Here is a 14725-nt window from a genome sequence, read left to right as displayed (position 1 = left end):
CTTTGACAGAGCCAATAGGCGAAAAGGAGAGACGGGAAGTATTTTTGCCGCCCCGCCCGGAAAGGGTGGAGCACAACGTCGAAAGCAGCCAATGGGAGTTCAGGAGGCGGAGCGCCTGTGGGAGCCCTGGAGGGAACTTTCCCAGTCCCCGAGGCGGATCGGGTGTTGCATCCATGGAGCGAGCTGAGAGCTCGAGGTGAGCGGGGCTCGCAGTCTTCCGGTGTCCCCTCTCGCGCGCCCTCTTTGAGACCCACGGCATTCCAACCTCCCTGGAAATGGGGGGAACATGGCCGAGGCGCGTGGCGAGGCAGCCCCCTGGAGGCCCCGGAGTGGCGACCTCAGTGTTGCAGCGATCTCGTGCCCCTTGGGTGCGCCTTGAGGCCGAGGCAAGCTCCTTCGGGGTCCTGGGCTGCGGGCAAAGGATTCGGCCCTGTGAGGAGTTGGGTTCGGCCTGTCCCAGACAGGCCTTGCCCACATCCCATCACAGGGCCGTGGACTTGAAGCGGGAGCGTGAAATCCCCATAGACTGAATGCATTTCCTTTCTACCTGTTCTCTCTCCCCTTTTATTTTTATTTTTATAGTATTTTATTTTTAATTTTTTTTTGTAGAGACGGGGATTTCGCTGCGTTGCCCAGGCTGGTCTCGAACGCCTGAGCTCAAGCAATCCGCCCGCCTTGGCCCCTCAAAGTGCTGGAATTAAAGGCATGATGCACCGTGCCTGGCCTTTTTAAAAAATTAAGGTTATTTTGGGGACGGTAGAGCGTCCAGACACATCCTTATTTGCATAGCTGCGCAGTTTTTAAAAATGCAATACGTTTCTACCTGTTAGGATGTGTGATTTCTGGCTGGTAAGCTACACCGAATCTTGGCTAGCACATTTGCATTCCATGTCAGATTTGTAAACGCAAATTTGCTCTCTGCATTTAAATATATTAGATATATTTAGGTAACTACATTTAAATGTATTGAGACATTTAAATAAATTTGGGGTCTGTGTCTAAATGCGCTCCCTCCTCAAAATAAATATCTGAAGTGGGCCGAGAGCGGTGACTCACGCCTATAATCCCAGCACTTTGGGAGGCCAAGGCGGGTGGATCATGAAGTCAGGAGTTCATGACCAGCCTGGCCAACATGGTGAAATCCGTTTCTACTAAAAATACAAAAATTAACTGGGCATGATGGCGGGAGCCTGTAATCCTAGCTACTTTGGAGGCTGAGGCAGGAGAATCGCTGGAACCCAGGAGGCGGAGGTTGCAGTGAGCTGAGATCGTGCCACTGCAGTCCGGCCTGGGCAACGCAGCAAGACTCGGTCTCAAAAAAAAAAAAAAAAAAAAATCAGAAGTGGACCTGTAGCCTATAGTGTGCTGCCAAATAAACTTATTTTTAGAGATACTTCTTTCCATTTTCTGTGAGGTCATCTGCAGTTTCACATGGTAGACAGACTTAGGTGAGATTCTTAGCAAGGTGGAATGAAGAGTAAAGAGGTTTGTTTATTTCAGAAGGGTTTATTAAAGGCCTACGATGTGTTAAATGCTGTAGGAAATACCCAGTGATTTCTCTTTCATGGAGGTTTCCTGCCTTCTCTTAACAAGTTATCAATTAAACTGTTTGCTGGAAATTGCTAAGTTAATGAACACACGGGATACATTCTTTGAGCAGACATTGTTTGGGCAGAGGAGGAAGAGGAGAGCGGTTTAGACAGAGACCTGCTTATACACTGTAGTGTCTCAAAGAGCTTGTGATGTTCAGGACAGTTGTTCACTGTGCTACAATATAGGGGATGGCTGGTTGCGGTCCCCTGTAATCCTAGCACTTTGGGAGGCCGAGGCAGGCGGATCACCTGAGGTCAGGAGTTCGAGACCAGCCTGGCCAACATGGTGAAACCCTATCTCTTCTAAAAACACAAAAATTAGCTGGGTGTGATGGTGGGCGCCTGTAATCCCAGCTACTTGGGAGGCTGAGATAGGAGAATCGCTTGAACCTGGGAGGCGGAGGTTGCAGTGAGCTGAGCTCATGCCATTGCCCTCTAGCATAGGCAACGGGGTGAGACTCTGTCTCAAATAATAACAATAATAACAATAATAATAATAATAATAATAATAATGTAGGGGACTTGATGAAGGGAAAGGATTAGAGAGATTCTGAAAAGAAGGTAGTTTTGGCCCCAATGATGACTAAATTTTAACTTTCATATAGTAGGAAGTGGGGCACTAGTAAATTTTTAAGCAGAAAAATTATTTGACCAGATTTGTGATTTCAAAAATAGCTCTGGTGATAGAGTGGAGGATGTATTGGAGCAGGGAATAAGGGGAGATAAAACCTTTATAAAACTCTTAAAGCTAGTACAGCAAGAGCTTTGAGGGTCTTTGCTAAGACAGCAGCTGGCAGCTTCAGTTTGGAGTGGGGTATCAAAGGCAACTGTGTATAAGGAATAGTTATATAACTGGTACCCAATTTCTGAGATGATTTTGACTTAAACATTGTGTATTTCCCAGCATACTGTTGGTTTTTCTAATTATGTTGGGAAATTATGTTACTTTCATTTTTTTTTTTGCTCGTTGCCCAGGCTGGAGTGCAATGCCGCAATCTCAGCTCACTGCAACCTCCGCCTCCTGGATTTAAGCGATTCTCCTGCCTCAGCCTCCTGAGTAGCTAGGATTACAGGTGCCCACCACCATGCCTGGCTAATTTTTTGTATTTTTAGTAAAGACGGGGTTTCACCGTGTTGGCCAGGCTGGTGTCGAACTCCTGACCTCAAGTTATCCACCCATCTCTGCTTCCCAAAGTGCTGGGATTACAGGCATGAGCCACCACAGCCAGCCATGCTTTCACTTTTCAAGAAAGAAGACACCATTGTTGCCAAAGATTTTGGTAATTTGAGAGATACAATGTATGTTTTCTCCATGTGGATCTTAGTATAATTAGATAGTAAGGATCTGTTGAATTTGAAGTATCTATCCAGAAGTATTTTGGGTACATGTTTAAGGATTGTAAAACAGTGTTTCTATTTCTGGATATAATAAATGTATTTGCTAATATAATAAATGAATAGATTAGACCCATAAATTATTTACAGTGTTGAGTCATTTCCCACAGTTAAAATCAGGATGAAAATATATAGCTGAATACTTGATTTGTTTCTTGTAACTGATTTCTCTAGTACAGAACCTGCTAAGGCCATCAAACCTATTGATCGGAAGTCAGTCCATCAGATTTGCTCTGGGCAGGTGGTACTGAGTCTAAGCACTGCGGTAAAGGAGTTAGTAGAAAACAGTCTGGATGCTGGTGCCACTAATATTGGTAAGTTTGGGAGAGTTTTAAGCCACAAGAAATGATCTGTGAATGTTGTTGTAGTTAAGAAACATTTGTTATTGAAATAAGACTATCAAGTGTTGATGTAGTAATAAATTATTATTTTTAAGTTGAAGTTAGCACCTATTATGTGCCTAGTACTTAGCTAGGTAGTAATAATAATAACAGCTTTTATTGTGTTCTTACGGTGTGCCAGGCAGGTGTTATGCTAAGAATTGCACAGAAATATTTAATTTGCAGAACAGCTGGGCGTGGTGTCTCACGCCTATAATCCTAGCCCTTTGAGAGGCCGAGGTGGGGGAATTGCTTGAGGCCAAGAGTTCAAGACCAACCTGGCCAACATGGTGAGACCTTGTCTCTATTGAAAAATAAAGTAGGCCAGGCATAGTGGCTCACGCCTGTAATCCCAGCACTTTGGGAGGCCAAGGCGGGTGGATACCTGAGGTCAGGAGTTCGAGACCAGCCTGTCCAAAGTGGTGAAACTCTGTCTCTACTAAAAATACAAAAATTAGCTGGACCTGGTGGCAGAAGCCTGTAATCCCAGCTACTTGGGACACTGAGGCACGAGAATTGCTTGAAGCCGAGAGACGGAGGTTGCAGTAAGCCGAGATCGTGCCACTGCATGCCAGCCTGGGGACAGAGCAAGATTCCATCTCAAAAACATAAAACAAAATAGGGCTGGAGTAGTGGCTCACATCTGTAATACCAGCACTTTGGGAGGCTGAGGGGGGCTGATCATTTGAGGTCAGGAGTTCTAGACCAGCCTAACCAACATGATGAAACCCTGTCTCTACTAAAAATACAAAAATTAGCCAGATGTGGTGGTGCATGGCTGTAATCTCAGCTCCTCAGGACGCTGAAGGAGGAGAATTGCTTGAACCTGGGAGGTGGAGGCTGCAGTGAGCCAAGATCGTACCACTGCACTCCAGCCTGGGTGACGAGCAAAACTCCATCTCAAAAGAAAAGAAAAGAATAATAAAATAAAAAAAACCAAAGAATTATTAATCTGCAGAATAACTTTATGAGATAGAACTTATTATTCTCTATTTTACAAATGAGGAAATTAGGGGATAGGAAATTTCCTTTTTTTGAGATTATAAAGCTGATAAAATAGGATCCAGGAAGTCTGATTCCAGAACCCATTCTCTTTTTTTTTTTTTTTTTGAGATAGAGTTTTGCTCTTGTTGCCCAGGCTATAGTGCAATGGCACGATCTCGGCTCACTGCAACCTCCACCTCCTGGGTTCAAGTGATTCTCCTGCCTCAGCTTCCTGAGTAGCTGGGATGACAGGCATGCGCCACCAAGCCTGGCTAATTTTGTATTTTTAGTAGAGACAGGGTTTCTCCATGTTGGTCAGGCTGGTCTCGAACTCCTGACCTCAGGTGATCTGCTCGCTTTGGCCTCCCAAAGTGCTGGAATTACAGGCATGAACCACTGCACCCGGTCCCCGTTCTCTTTATTGGGTATGTTAAAATTATTTCTTTCAAAAGAAAAGGATGGTCAAAGTGCAACGCGGTTTACAGCTAATTGATCACCACCAGTTACAGATTTTTTTTGTTCCTTCTCCACTCCAACTGCTTCACTTCACTAGCCTAGGGAAAAAAAAAGAGGAAAGAAAGAAAAAGCTAAACTATTTAGTCTGGGCTAGTAAATAGCCAGAAAGGACTTTATAACAATGAAATATACAAAATGACACTAGTATGTTTAACTAAAGGTATAGTTATGACTCTTAAATTTGCATATGTTATAAATAATGTCAATATAAAAACTGATAGCATGGGTCCGTTTTTAATAAATATGTAAATATTTTAAACTTTCTAGATCTAAAGCTTAAGGACTATGGAGTGGATCTTATTGAAGTTTCAGACAATGGATGTGGGGTAGAAGAAGAAAACTTCGAAGGCTTAAGTAAGTTGACTTTTTCTAATCCTATTATAAAATAATTGGGTCACATGTCTCAGAATTTTGAGTAACACTGTCTTGGGAAATGCAAAAACAGTTTTTTAAAGCCAGTTACTAGATATCATGTATATTTTGTTGTTATAGCACTTGAGATATCTTAGTCCTTACTTTACACTCTCTTTCAGCTCTGAAACATCACACATCTAAGATTCAAGAGTTTGCCGACCTAACTCAGGTTGAAACTTTTGGCTTTCGGGGGGAAGCTCTGAGCTCACTTTGTGCACTGAGGTGATACAATATTTTTATCCACTCACTTGACCCCTTAGAGAAACCTCTCTGAAAATTAATTGGAATCATTATTATTTTCAGTTTTCTATCTCAACATCTCAACTTCTAGCTTCTGAATTCTGTTTTGTCTCGCTGCCAATCTAAGTCATAGTACTTCTGAAATGTGAGCAATAAATGAATGAAATGAAGCAAATAGTATTGTTAAAAAGATGGTTACCCTTATTAAAACAGTAATTCTCAATTTTAACCTAACATGTAGATAATAAATGATAGTTACCATTGGTTTTCATTATCAATTTTTAGGGAAACATTTCACCAAAGCACTATTTAATTATAGCACAGATATGAAATTTTTATAAATAATTATATATATATATATATATCTTTTTTTTTTTTTAGACAGAGTCTCTCTTTGTCACCCAGGCTGGAGTGCAGTGGCACAGTCTCGGCTCACTGCAATCTCTGCCTTCCAGGTTCAAGTGATTCTCGTGCCTGAGCCTCCTGAGGAGCTGGTACTATAGGCATGCACCACCACTCCTGGCTAATTTTTGTATTTTTAGTAGAGATGGGATTTCACCATGTTGCCTAGGCTGGTCTCAAACTCCTGGCCTCAAGTGATCTGCCTGCCTTGGCCTCCCAAAGTGCTGGGATAACAGGCATGAGCCACCACGCTCTGCCCTACATATACATTTTAATTATAATATTTGTTAGATTCTTTAAAAAAAATTTGTTCGAAGAGTAATAACAAAACAAATCTGTGTTTGTGAATAAATAAATCTTAAGATCATTTATGGTTTTGCAGTTCAACCTGAAAAACGAAATCAAAGCTTTTATCAAAGCAAAGCATGTTTAGTGCTCTCTGTCTCACTGTCTTTTAGATGCCAAACCTTAGATTTTATGATGACTCCTCAACCATTTAGATCTTGATTATCTCAGAGGGATCGTCAGCTTTTTAAGAAAATTTTGAGAGAAAAGCAAGTGAAGAAAAGAGTAGTCAGTGCCCAACATCATGGGTCTCTCACTGAACACACCATGCCTGGTATTCTCTCACAGCGATGTCACCATTTCTACCTGCCACGCATCGGCGAAGGTTGGAACTCGACTGATGTTTGATCACAATGGGAAAATTATCCAGAAAACCCCCTACCCCCGCCCCAGAGGGACCACAGTCAGCGTGCAGCAGTTATTTTCCACACTACCTGTGCGCCATAAGGAATTTCAAAGGAATATTAAGAAGGTACAGTAAATTAATCCTGGTTTTCAAGAGTATTGGTTAATGCACATGAGCAAAAGATTTACTAAAGATGTTTATTCTTCAGTTGATTCTCTTCCCATAAATTATTGAGAAATGCTTTATTTGCATTTCTCATTAAAGATTTAACATTAAAGACTTAACTTTAGGATGATTTACTTTTTTCTTTTCATCACATAGTGTTTATTAGGACTGGGCAACACAGTGAGACCCTGTCTCTATGAAAAATTTTAAAAAAAAATTTACTGGGCATGGTGACATGTACCTGTAGTTCCAGCTACTTGGGAGGCTGAAGTGGGAGGATCACTTGAGCCCAGGAACTTGAGGCTGCAGTGAGCTATGATTGCGCCACTGCACTTAAGACTGGGAGACAGAATAAGATCCTGTCTGGAAAAATATATATACATATATATATATTTTTTATTTTTTATTTTTATCTTTTTTTGAGATGGAGTTTCTCTTTGGCGCCCTGGCTGGAGTGCGGTGGCGCGATCTTGGTTCACTGCAACCTCCACCTCCTGAGTTCAAGCGATTCTCCTGCCTCAGCCTTCTGAGTAGCTGCAATTACAGGCGTGTACCACCACAGCTGGCTAATTTTTGTATTTTTAGTAGAGACGGGGTTTCACCATGTTGTCCAGGCTGGCCAGGCTGGTCTCGAATTCCTGACCTCAGGTGATCTGCCCACCTTGGCCTCTCAAAGTGCTGGGATTACAGGCCTGAGCCACCATGCCTGGCCTTATGTACTTATATTTTAATAAGAATATTTCTCGGCCAGGCACAGTGGCTCACACCTGTAATCCCAGCACTTTGGGAGGCTGAGGCGGGTGGATCACGAGGTCAAGAGATCAAAGCCATCCTGGCCAAACTGGTGAAACCCCATCTCTACTAAAAATACAAAAATTAGCTGGGCATGGTGGCATGTGCCTGTAGTCCCAGCTCCTTGGGAGGCTGAGGCAGGAGAATCGCTGGAATCCGGGAGGCAGAGGTTGCGGTGAGCCGAGATCAAGCTATTGCACTCCAGCCTGGGCACAGAGCCAGACCCCATCTCAAAAAAAAAAAAAAAAGAATATTTCTCTTGGTTTTCTGAGAAATGAGCTATTAGAACCCTTATGAATTTGAATGCAAATGAAAATAGCTAAATGTTATATAGTCGTTGTGTTTAAAAAGCAGATTATAGAACTGTCTGTATTATTTGATTACAATTTTGTGAAAACAAAACAACAAGCCTAAATGTGTATAGTATAAAGGCTGGAAGACTCGGCACTTTCATGTTCTCAGCAGTTATCCTTGGATGTGAGATCTCATGCAGTTTTTGCTGTCTTCTTTGTGCCTTCCCATTTTGTATGTGTGTTTTTCATAATCTAAAAAGTTACTTAAACATATGCAGCTAAAAACTTTTTTTACTTGTAAAGCATTTGGTGCTAATTTTAACTTTCTTTTTTTTTAGATGGAGTCTTCTCACTCTGTCGCCCAGGCTGGAGTGCAGTGGTGCGATCTCGGCTCACTGCAACCTCCACCTCCTGGGTTCAAGTGATTCTCCTGCCTCAGCCTCTCGAGTAGCTGGGATTATAGGTGTGCGCCACCACGCCCAGCTAATTTTTGTATTTTTAGTAGAGATGGAGTTTCACCATGTTGGCTAGCCTGGTCTTGCACCCCTGACCTCAAGTGATCCACCTGCCTCAGCCTCCCAAAGTGCTGGGATTACAGGTGTGAGCCACTGCACTTGGCTGCTAATTTTAACTTTATTACATTTTTTCACAAATTTAAATTTTCTAAAGTAGAGAAAACTTACTCTTTTTTTGTATCTTATGGTAAAAAAATTAGTGCCTTAGCAGAATACAGGAATGTAGAACTTCTATTTGTCAGAGATAACTGTTATTTACAGTTTGTATATCTTTTCAGGCTGCTTTTAATTTCATGTGTTTATAACTGTTGGAATAATTTTCAAGATAAATTCATAAGTTAATATAATGAAAGCAAGTAATATAGAATGTACAACATGCAAGTAATACAGAATTGTATGTGGTTGAAAGTTGTATTTTTTTTTTTTTTTTTTTTTTAATTGAGACAGGGTCTTGCTCTCTCACCTAGGCTGGGATGTAGTGGCACAATCTCAGCTTACCGCAGCCATGATCTCCCAGGCTCAATGAATCTTCCCACTTCAGCCTCCCAAGTAGCTGGGACTCCAGGCCCGTGCTACCATGCCCGGCTAATTTTTGTTTTTTTTGTAGAGATGGGTCCTTCTGTGTTGCCCAGGCAGGTCTCGAACTCGTGGGCTCAAGTGATCCTCCCGCCTCAGCCTCCCAAAGTGCTGGGATTACAGGTGTGAACCATCATGCCTGGCCCTATAACTGACTTTTTACTTAGCATATTGTGATTGTCTTTTTTAGTCGGTGCACACTGCCTTATTTGTTGTCATTCTGCTGCGCTATGGCTATACCATAATTAATCAACTCCTCAATGATGCTTGCTTAGGTTGTTTCTGTTTGTTCATAGAGATTGTTTCAGTGAACATTTTTGTGTATCTCTTTGCATACCAAAATGCTTGTGCCAGTGTTTCTATTATACGAAGATACATTTCAAAAGGAGAGATTATAAAATCAAACACAATGTACGTTTCAGTTTTTTAATTTTCATTTTTAGAGATAGGGCCTCACTCTGTCACCGAGGCTGGAGTGCAGTGGTGCAATCATGGCTCACTGCAGCCTTGAACTCCTAGGCTCAAGCGATCCTCCCACCTCAGCCTCCTCAGTAGCTGTGACTACAGGCACATGCCATGACGCCCGGCTAATTTTTTTTTTAAATTTTTTGTAGAGACAGGGTCTTGCTGTGTTGCCCAGGCTGGTCTTGAACTCCTGGTCTCAAGTGATCCTCCTGCCCTCAGCCTCCTGAGTAGCTGGGATTACAGGCTGTACTTTTTAGTTGTTTTACCAGGATGCATGGCACATTGGGAAGTGAGAGGACTGTGACCAGGAGCCAAAAGCTCTGCGTTCCTTTCTGTAGAATATAGGAAGACACCTCTTTACAGATCATTCTGTCAACAGTGCTTCCCTTGATTTGTGCGATGATGTGAGAACCTTGCGTTGGATGTTGTAACTTGAGCTGTGTAATTCCTATAATATTAAAGTAATGTAGAATATTGTGTTTGTGTTTTTTAAACAGGAGTATGCCAAAATGGTCCAGGTCTTACATGCATACTGTATCATTTCAGCAGGCATCCGTGTAAGTTGCACCAATCAGCTTGGACAAGGAAAACGACAGCCTGTGGTATGCACAGGTGGAAGCCCCAGCATAAAGGAAAATATCGGCTCTGTGTTTGGGCAGAAGCAGGTAGTGATGGCCGGTTACTTCAACGCCTCTTATTGCTCTAGTGATTATAGCGGGTTTCCATTGTCCCTTCCAGTAGAATGGAGAATAAAATCTTAGAATTGATTTTTTTTTTTTTTTTGAGAGGGAGTCTCGCACTGCTGCCCAGGCTGGAGTGCAGTGGTGTTGTCTTGGCTCACTGCAACCTCCGCCTCCCAGATTCAAGCAATTCTCCTGCCTCAGCCTCCCGAGTAGTGGGATTACAAGCATGCTCCACTACGCCAGGCTAATTTTTTGTATCTTTAGTAGAGACGGGGTTTCACCGTGTTGGCCAGGCTGGTCTCGAATTCCTGACCTCGTGATCCACCAGCCTCGGCCTCCCAAAGTGCTGGGATTACAGGTGTGAGCCACCAAGCCCGGCCGGTTTTTTTTTTTTTTGAGCTGGAGTCTTGCTCTGTTGCCCAGGTTGGAGTGCAGTGGCGCCATCTTGGCTCACTGCAACCTCTGCCTCCCGCGTTGAAGCAATTCTCCTACCTTAGCCTCCTGAGTAGCTGGGATTACAGGCACATGCCACCAGGCCCAGCTAATTTTTTGTATTTTTAGTAGAGATGGGGTTTCATCTTGTTGGCCAGACTGGCCTCGAACTCCTGACCTCTAGTGATCCGCCTGCCTCGGCCTCCCAAAGTGCTGGGATTACAGACGTGAGCCACTGCGCCCAGATTAAGAATTGATTTTTAAAGTGCCTATCACAAGGCCCGGCGCAGTGGCTCACGTCTGTAATCCCAGCACTTTGGGAGGCTGAGGTGGGCGGATCACGAGGTCAGGAGTTTGAGACCAGCCTGATCAATATGGTGAAACCCCATCTCTACTAAAAATACAAAAATTATCTGTTCGTGGTGGCAGGCACCTGTAATCCCAGCTACTCAGGAGGCTGAGGCAGGAGAGTCGCTGGAACCCGGGAGATGGAGGTTGCAGTGAGCTGAGATTGCACCACTGCACTGCAGCCTGGGCGAGAGAGCAAGACACCATCCCAGGAAAAAAAAAAAAAAAAAAACAAAGTACCTATCACAAAAATTGATGTTTGAGAGCTGAATGTGTTTCATTTTATTCTTCCAGAGACACTCGTATACTGCGTCTTTTCACTCTCTCTCTGAAAAAAATATAAGTTATTGTGGGCAATGTGTGGGTTCTGAATAAGTAGGTACTTGTTTCATCTTTCTTATATCATAAAATCAAAATTGTTGTTCCCACGGCTCACACATGTAATCCCAGCACTCTGGGAGAGGAAACTGTTGGGATTATGTGTTTGAACCACCCGGCCAACAATTTTGAGGTGGGAGAATCGCTTGAGCCCAGGAATTTAAGACCAGCTTGGATAACACGGCAAGATCCCATCTCTACAAAAAAATTAAAAAATTAGCCAGGTGTGGTGGTGTGCACCTGTAGTCCCAGCTACTCACTCGACAGGCTGACGCAGGAGGATTGCTTGAACCCACGAGTTTGACATTGCAGTGAGGTATGATTGAGCCATTGTACTCCAGCCTGGGCAATAGAGGGAGACCCTGTCTCAAAAAACAAAACAAAACAAAAGATTCTTTTAATTTTTTTTGCGCTTGTAATGTCAATAGCTTGACTAAGAAAGAAAACAGATTAAGTCCACTCTGTCTTTATTAGGAAGTAACTGTGAATTTTTTTTTTTTTTTTTCAGTTGCAAAGCCTCATTCCTTTTGTTCAGCTGCCCCCTAGTGACTCCGTGTGTGAAGAGTACGGTTTGAGCTGTTCCGATGCTCTGCATAATCTTTTTTAGTAAGTAGATTGCTGGCAAGAGAACTACAATTGAACATTTTATCCTGAGAGCTTTTTTTTTAAAGATAGTGATTCTAAGGCTAATAGTTTCGTGTCTTTTTTTTTTTTTCTTGAGACGGAGTCTTGCTTTGTTGCCCAGGCTGGAGTGCAATGGTGCTATCTTGGCTCACTGCAACCTCTACCTCCTGAGTTCAAGCAATTCTCCTGCCTCAGCCTCCTGAGTAGCTGGGATTACAGGCACGTGCCACCACACCCGGCTAATTTTGTATTTTTAGTAGAGACGGGGTTTCACCATGTTGGCCAGGCTGGTCTCGAACTCCTGACCTCAGATGATCCGCCCACCTTGGTGTCCCAAAGTGCTGGGATTACAGGCATGAGCCACCACGCCTGGCTAGGGATAATAGTTTTTTATGTCCTTTATAAAACTGTGAGCAATGCTGTGGCTAAGAAAGATGATTTATACAAAGGAGTCAGTTGCTTAATTCAAACCATGTTTTGAGTAAGTGGTATATTTCAGGTGGTTTTCTGTTGAGCAGGTCTTCTTTAAGGCTCTGTTTAGTTAGACTAACTTGTAAATTATTTTATCATTTTAAATGATTTTGACTTTCCTGGCATCTGATGAAGGCAGTTCAGTGTCATTACTTTTCGTATAAGAAAATAGACACTTCCATAAATAGGATTGGTCCTGTAAAGATATCTATCTATCTGTGTGTATATATATATATATATATATATTTTTTTTTTTTTTAGCTTTGAGATGGAGTCTTGCTTTGTTGCCTAGGCTGCAGTGCAGTGCCGTGATCTTGGCTCACTGCAACCTCTGCCTCCCTGCAACCTCTGCCTCCCAGGTTCAAGCGATACTCCTGCCTCAGCCTTCCGAGAAGCTGGGACTACAGGTGTTCACCACCATGCCCGGCTGATTTTTTGTATTTTTAGTGGAGACGGGGTTTCGCCATGTTGCCCAGGCTGGTCTTGAACTCCTGACCTCAGGTGATCCACCCACCTTGGCCTCTCAAGGCTCTGGAATTACAGGCATGAGCCACCACACCCAGCCTAAGATCTGTATTTCTTTTTGTTTGTTTGTTTGTTGCCTTGAGATCTATATTTCTTACTCTTCCTCCACTTGCTTTTGGCTTATGCCTGAAATGGTAAACATGGAGCTTTATGTCTTTATGTGAAGGTGGTGTTCTTCTGGAAATGCCGGTATCCCTGGGGTGGGTCTCATGTGAAGCAAGCGCTTTACCAAGACATGAGATATAAGCGTCCTACCCGGGAGGTTTTGAAAGGGGAGGGAATGTGGGCAAAATTCTGAGCACAAGTGGTTAGACTTCATTGACAAACCAGGGGTGGCAGCACGGAGGTTCTGAGAATGCATTTGAAGCGAGACCCACTTACAGAGGCTGAGGATTTATCAGGAAGGGTAAGGAGAGCTGCAACACATCAGTTTTGGACGCACTGCATCACCTGTGGTGCATTGGTTGACTGTAGGAGCTTTAGAATATTCCAGAAGGTTTGGTTCTTTGATGACTCATCAAGATTTGGAGCACAGATACCCGTGAACTGCAATAGTGATCCTTATCAGCATGTCACCTGGTGTTTTGTTTTCATTTCACTTTAAGAATGTGCCATGTGATCGTATTTCTAATCCCTTTCACTCTGGAATCCTGCCCTTACCATATTAATGTTGAATAGCATCTCAGGTTTCATTTCACAATGCACGCATGGAGTTGGAAGGAGTTCAACAGACAGACAGTTTTTCTTTATCAACCGGCGGCCTTGTGACCCAGCAAAGGTATTTAAAATTTTTTTGTGTTAGTTTGTTCTTTATGCCTTTGACTTTTAATTGATAACTTTTTTCTGATAATAGGCAGTTTACGTGGAGCTCGGGACTTTGAGAAACATGGCTTTAACATTATCTTATTTTGTGCATTTACAGAAGTCTACCGCAGATGGCCCCCAGCTTCAGATGTTTCAACTGAAGACTTTTCTGTCCGGGCGCAGTGGCTCATGCCTGTAATCCCAGCACTTTGGGAGGCCGAGGCGGGTGGATTGCCTGAGGCCAGGAGTTCGAGACCAGCCTGGCCAACATGACAAAACCCCGTCTCTACTAAAATACAAAAAATAACCAGGCATGGTGTTCCACGCCTGTAATCCCAGCTACATGGGAGGCTGAGGCAGGAGGATCACTTGAACCTGGGAGATGGAGCTTGCAGTAAGCCGAGATTATGCCACTGCACTCCAGCCTGGGTGACAGAGCGAGACTGTGTTTCAAAAAAATATATATATATTTTTTTCTACTACTTTACCTTGTTGCAGAAGTTATTTTTTGCAGTAGATACCATACTTCAAGTACCTATTGAACCATTGTTTTTCGGTATAGTATTCAATAAATTACAGAAGATATTCAACATTTTATTATAAAATAGGTTATTTTGCCTATAGACTATGTAAGTATTCTGAGGCAAGGCTGAGATGGGACATTCAGTAGGTTAGGTTATCACAAAGGCATTTTTGACATACAGTATTTTCTTTTCTTTCTTTTTTTTTTTCTGAGACGGAGTCTTGTTTGTCACCCAGGCTGGAGTGCAGTGGCGTGGTCTCGGCTCACTGCAAGCTCCGCCTCCCAGGTTCACGCCATTCTCCTGCCTCAGCCTCCCGAGTAGCTGGGACTACAGGTGCCTGCCACCACGCCTGGTTAATTTTTTTTTGTATTTTTAGTAGAGACGGGGTTTCACCTTGTTAGCCAGGATGGTTTTGATCTCCTGACCTCGTGATCCGCCCACCTCGGCCTCCCAAAGTGCTGGAATTACAGGTGTGAGCCACCGCGCCCAGCAGATACAATATTTTTAACTTATGGG

General features: G+C 43.1%; 1 protein-coding gene across 65 annotated transcripts in view, besides 2 other annotated features; it reads left to right on the top strand.

The window, feature by feature from the left end:
- PMS2 (PMS1 homolog 2, mismatch repair system component) overlaps window positions 87–14725 on the top strand; it is a 38182-nt gene continuing 23543 nt past the window's right edge. For 6 of the 65 annotated variants that reach the window (NM_001322006.2, NM_001406870.1, NM_001406872.1 and 3 more), the window contains exons 1-8: window positions 144–196; window positions 3162–3301; window positions 5135–5221; window positions 5401–5503; window positions 6557–6740; window positions 9918–10085; window positions 11770–11867; window positions 13560–13659. In NM_001322006.2, coding sequence (NP_001308935.1) covers window positions 174–196; window positions 3162–3301; window positions 5135–5221; window positions 5401–5503; window positions 6557–6740; window positions 9918–10085; window positions 11770–11867; window positions 13560–13659 — 903 coding nt within the window. In that variant the 5' untranslated portion in view covers window positions 144–173. Of the gene's footprint in view, window positions 387–609; window positions 850–1423; window positions 1449–2567; window positions 2892–3161; window positions 3302–5134; window positions 5222–5376; window positions 5504–6381; window positions 6741–9917; window positions 10086–11769; window positions 11868–13559; window positions 13660–14725 lie in introns of those variants that run through there. The other 59 variants (NM_001406906.1, NM_001406910.1, NM_001406908.1 and 56 more) reach the window with 45 other exon arrangements.
- Window positions 243–342: an enhancer, noted in NCBI's record as "active region_25614". NCBI's record gives its function as "activates an Ori minimal core promoter by ATAC-STARR-seq in GM12878 lymphoblastoid cells {active_cell/tissue: GM12878}" and the evidence as "EXISTENCE:reporter gene assay evidence [ECO:0000049][PMID:35858748]".
- Window positions 1030–1721: an enhancer, noted in NCBI's record as "H3K4me1 hESC enhancer chr7:6047103-6047794 (GRCh37/hg19 assembly coordinates)". NCBI's record gives its function as "activates a minimal SCP1, AML or CMV promoter by ChIP-STARR-seq in naive H9 embryonic stem cells {active_cell/tissue: H9 hESC(naive)}" and the evidence as "EXISTENCE:reporter gene assay evidence [ECO:0000049][PMID:30033119]".

This window comes from Homo sapiens, chromosome 7, assembly GCF_000001405.40.
Source record: "Homo sapiens chromosome 7, GRCh38.p14 Primary Assembly".
In the NCBI taxonomy this organism is placed as follows: domain Eukaryota; kingdom Metazoa; phylum Chordata; class Mammalia; order Primates; family Hominidae; genus Homo; species Homo sapiens.
Note: the sequence above shows the minus strand (reverse complement) of the source record. Positions and strands in the feature narration are given on the sequence as shown.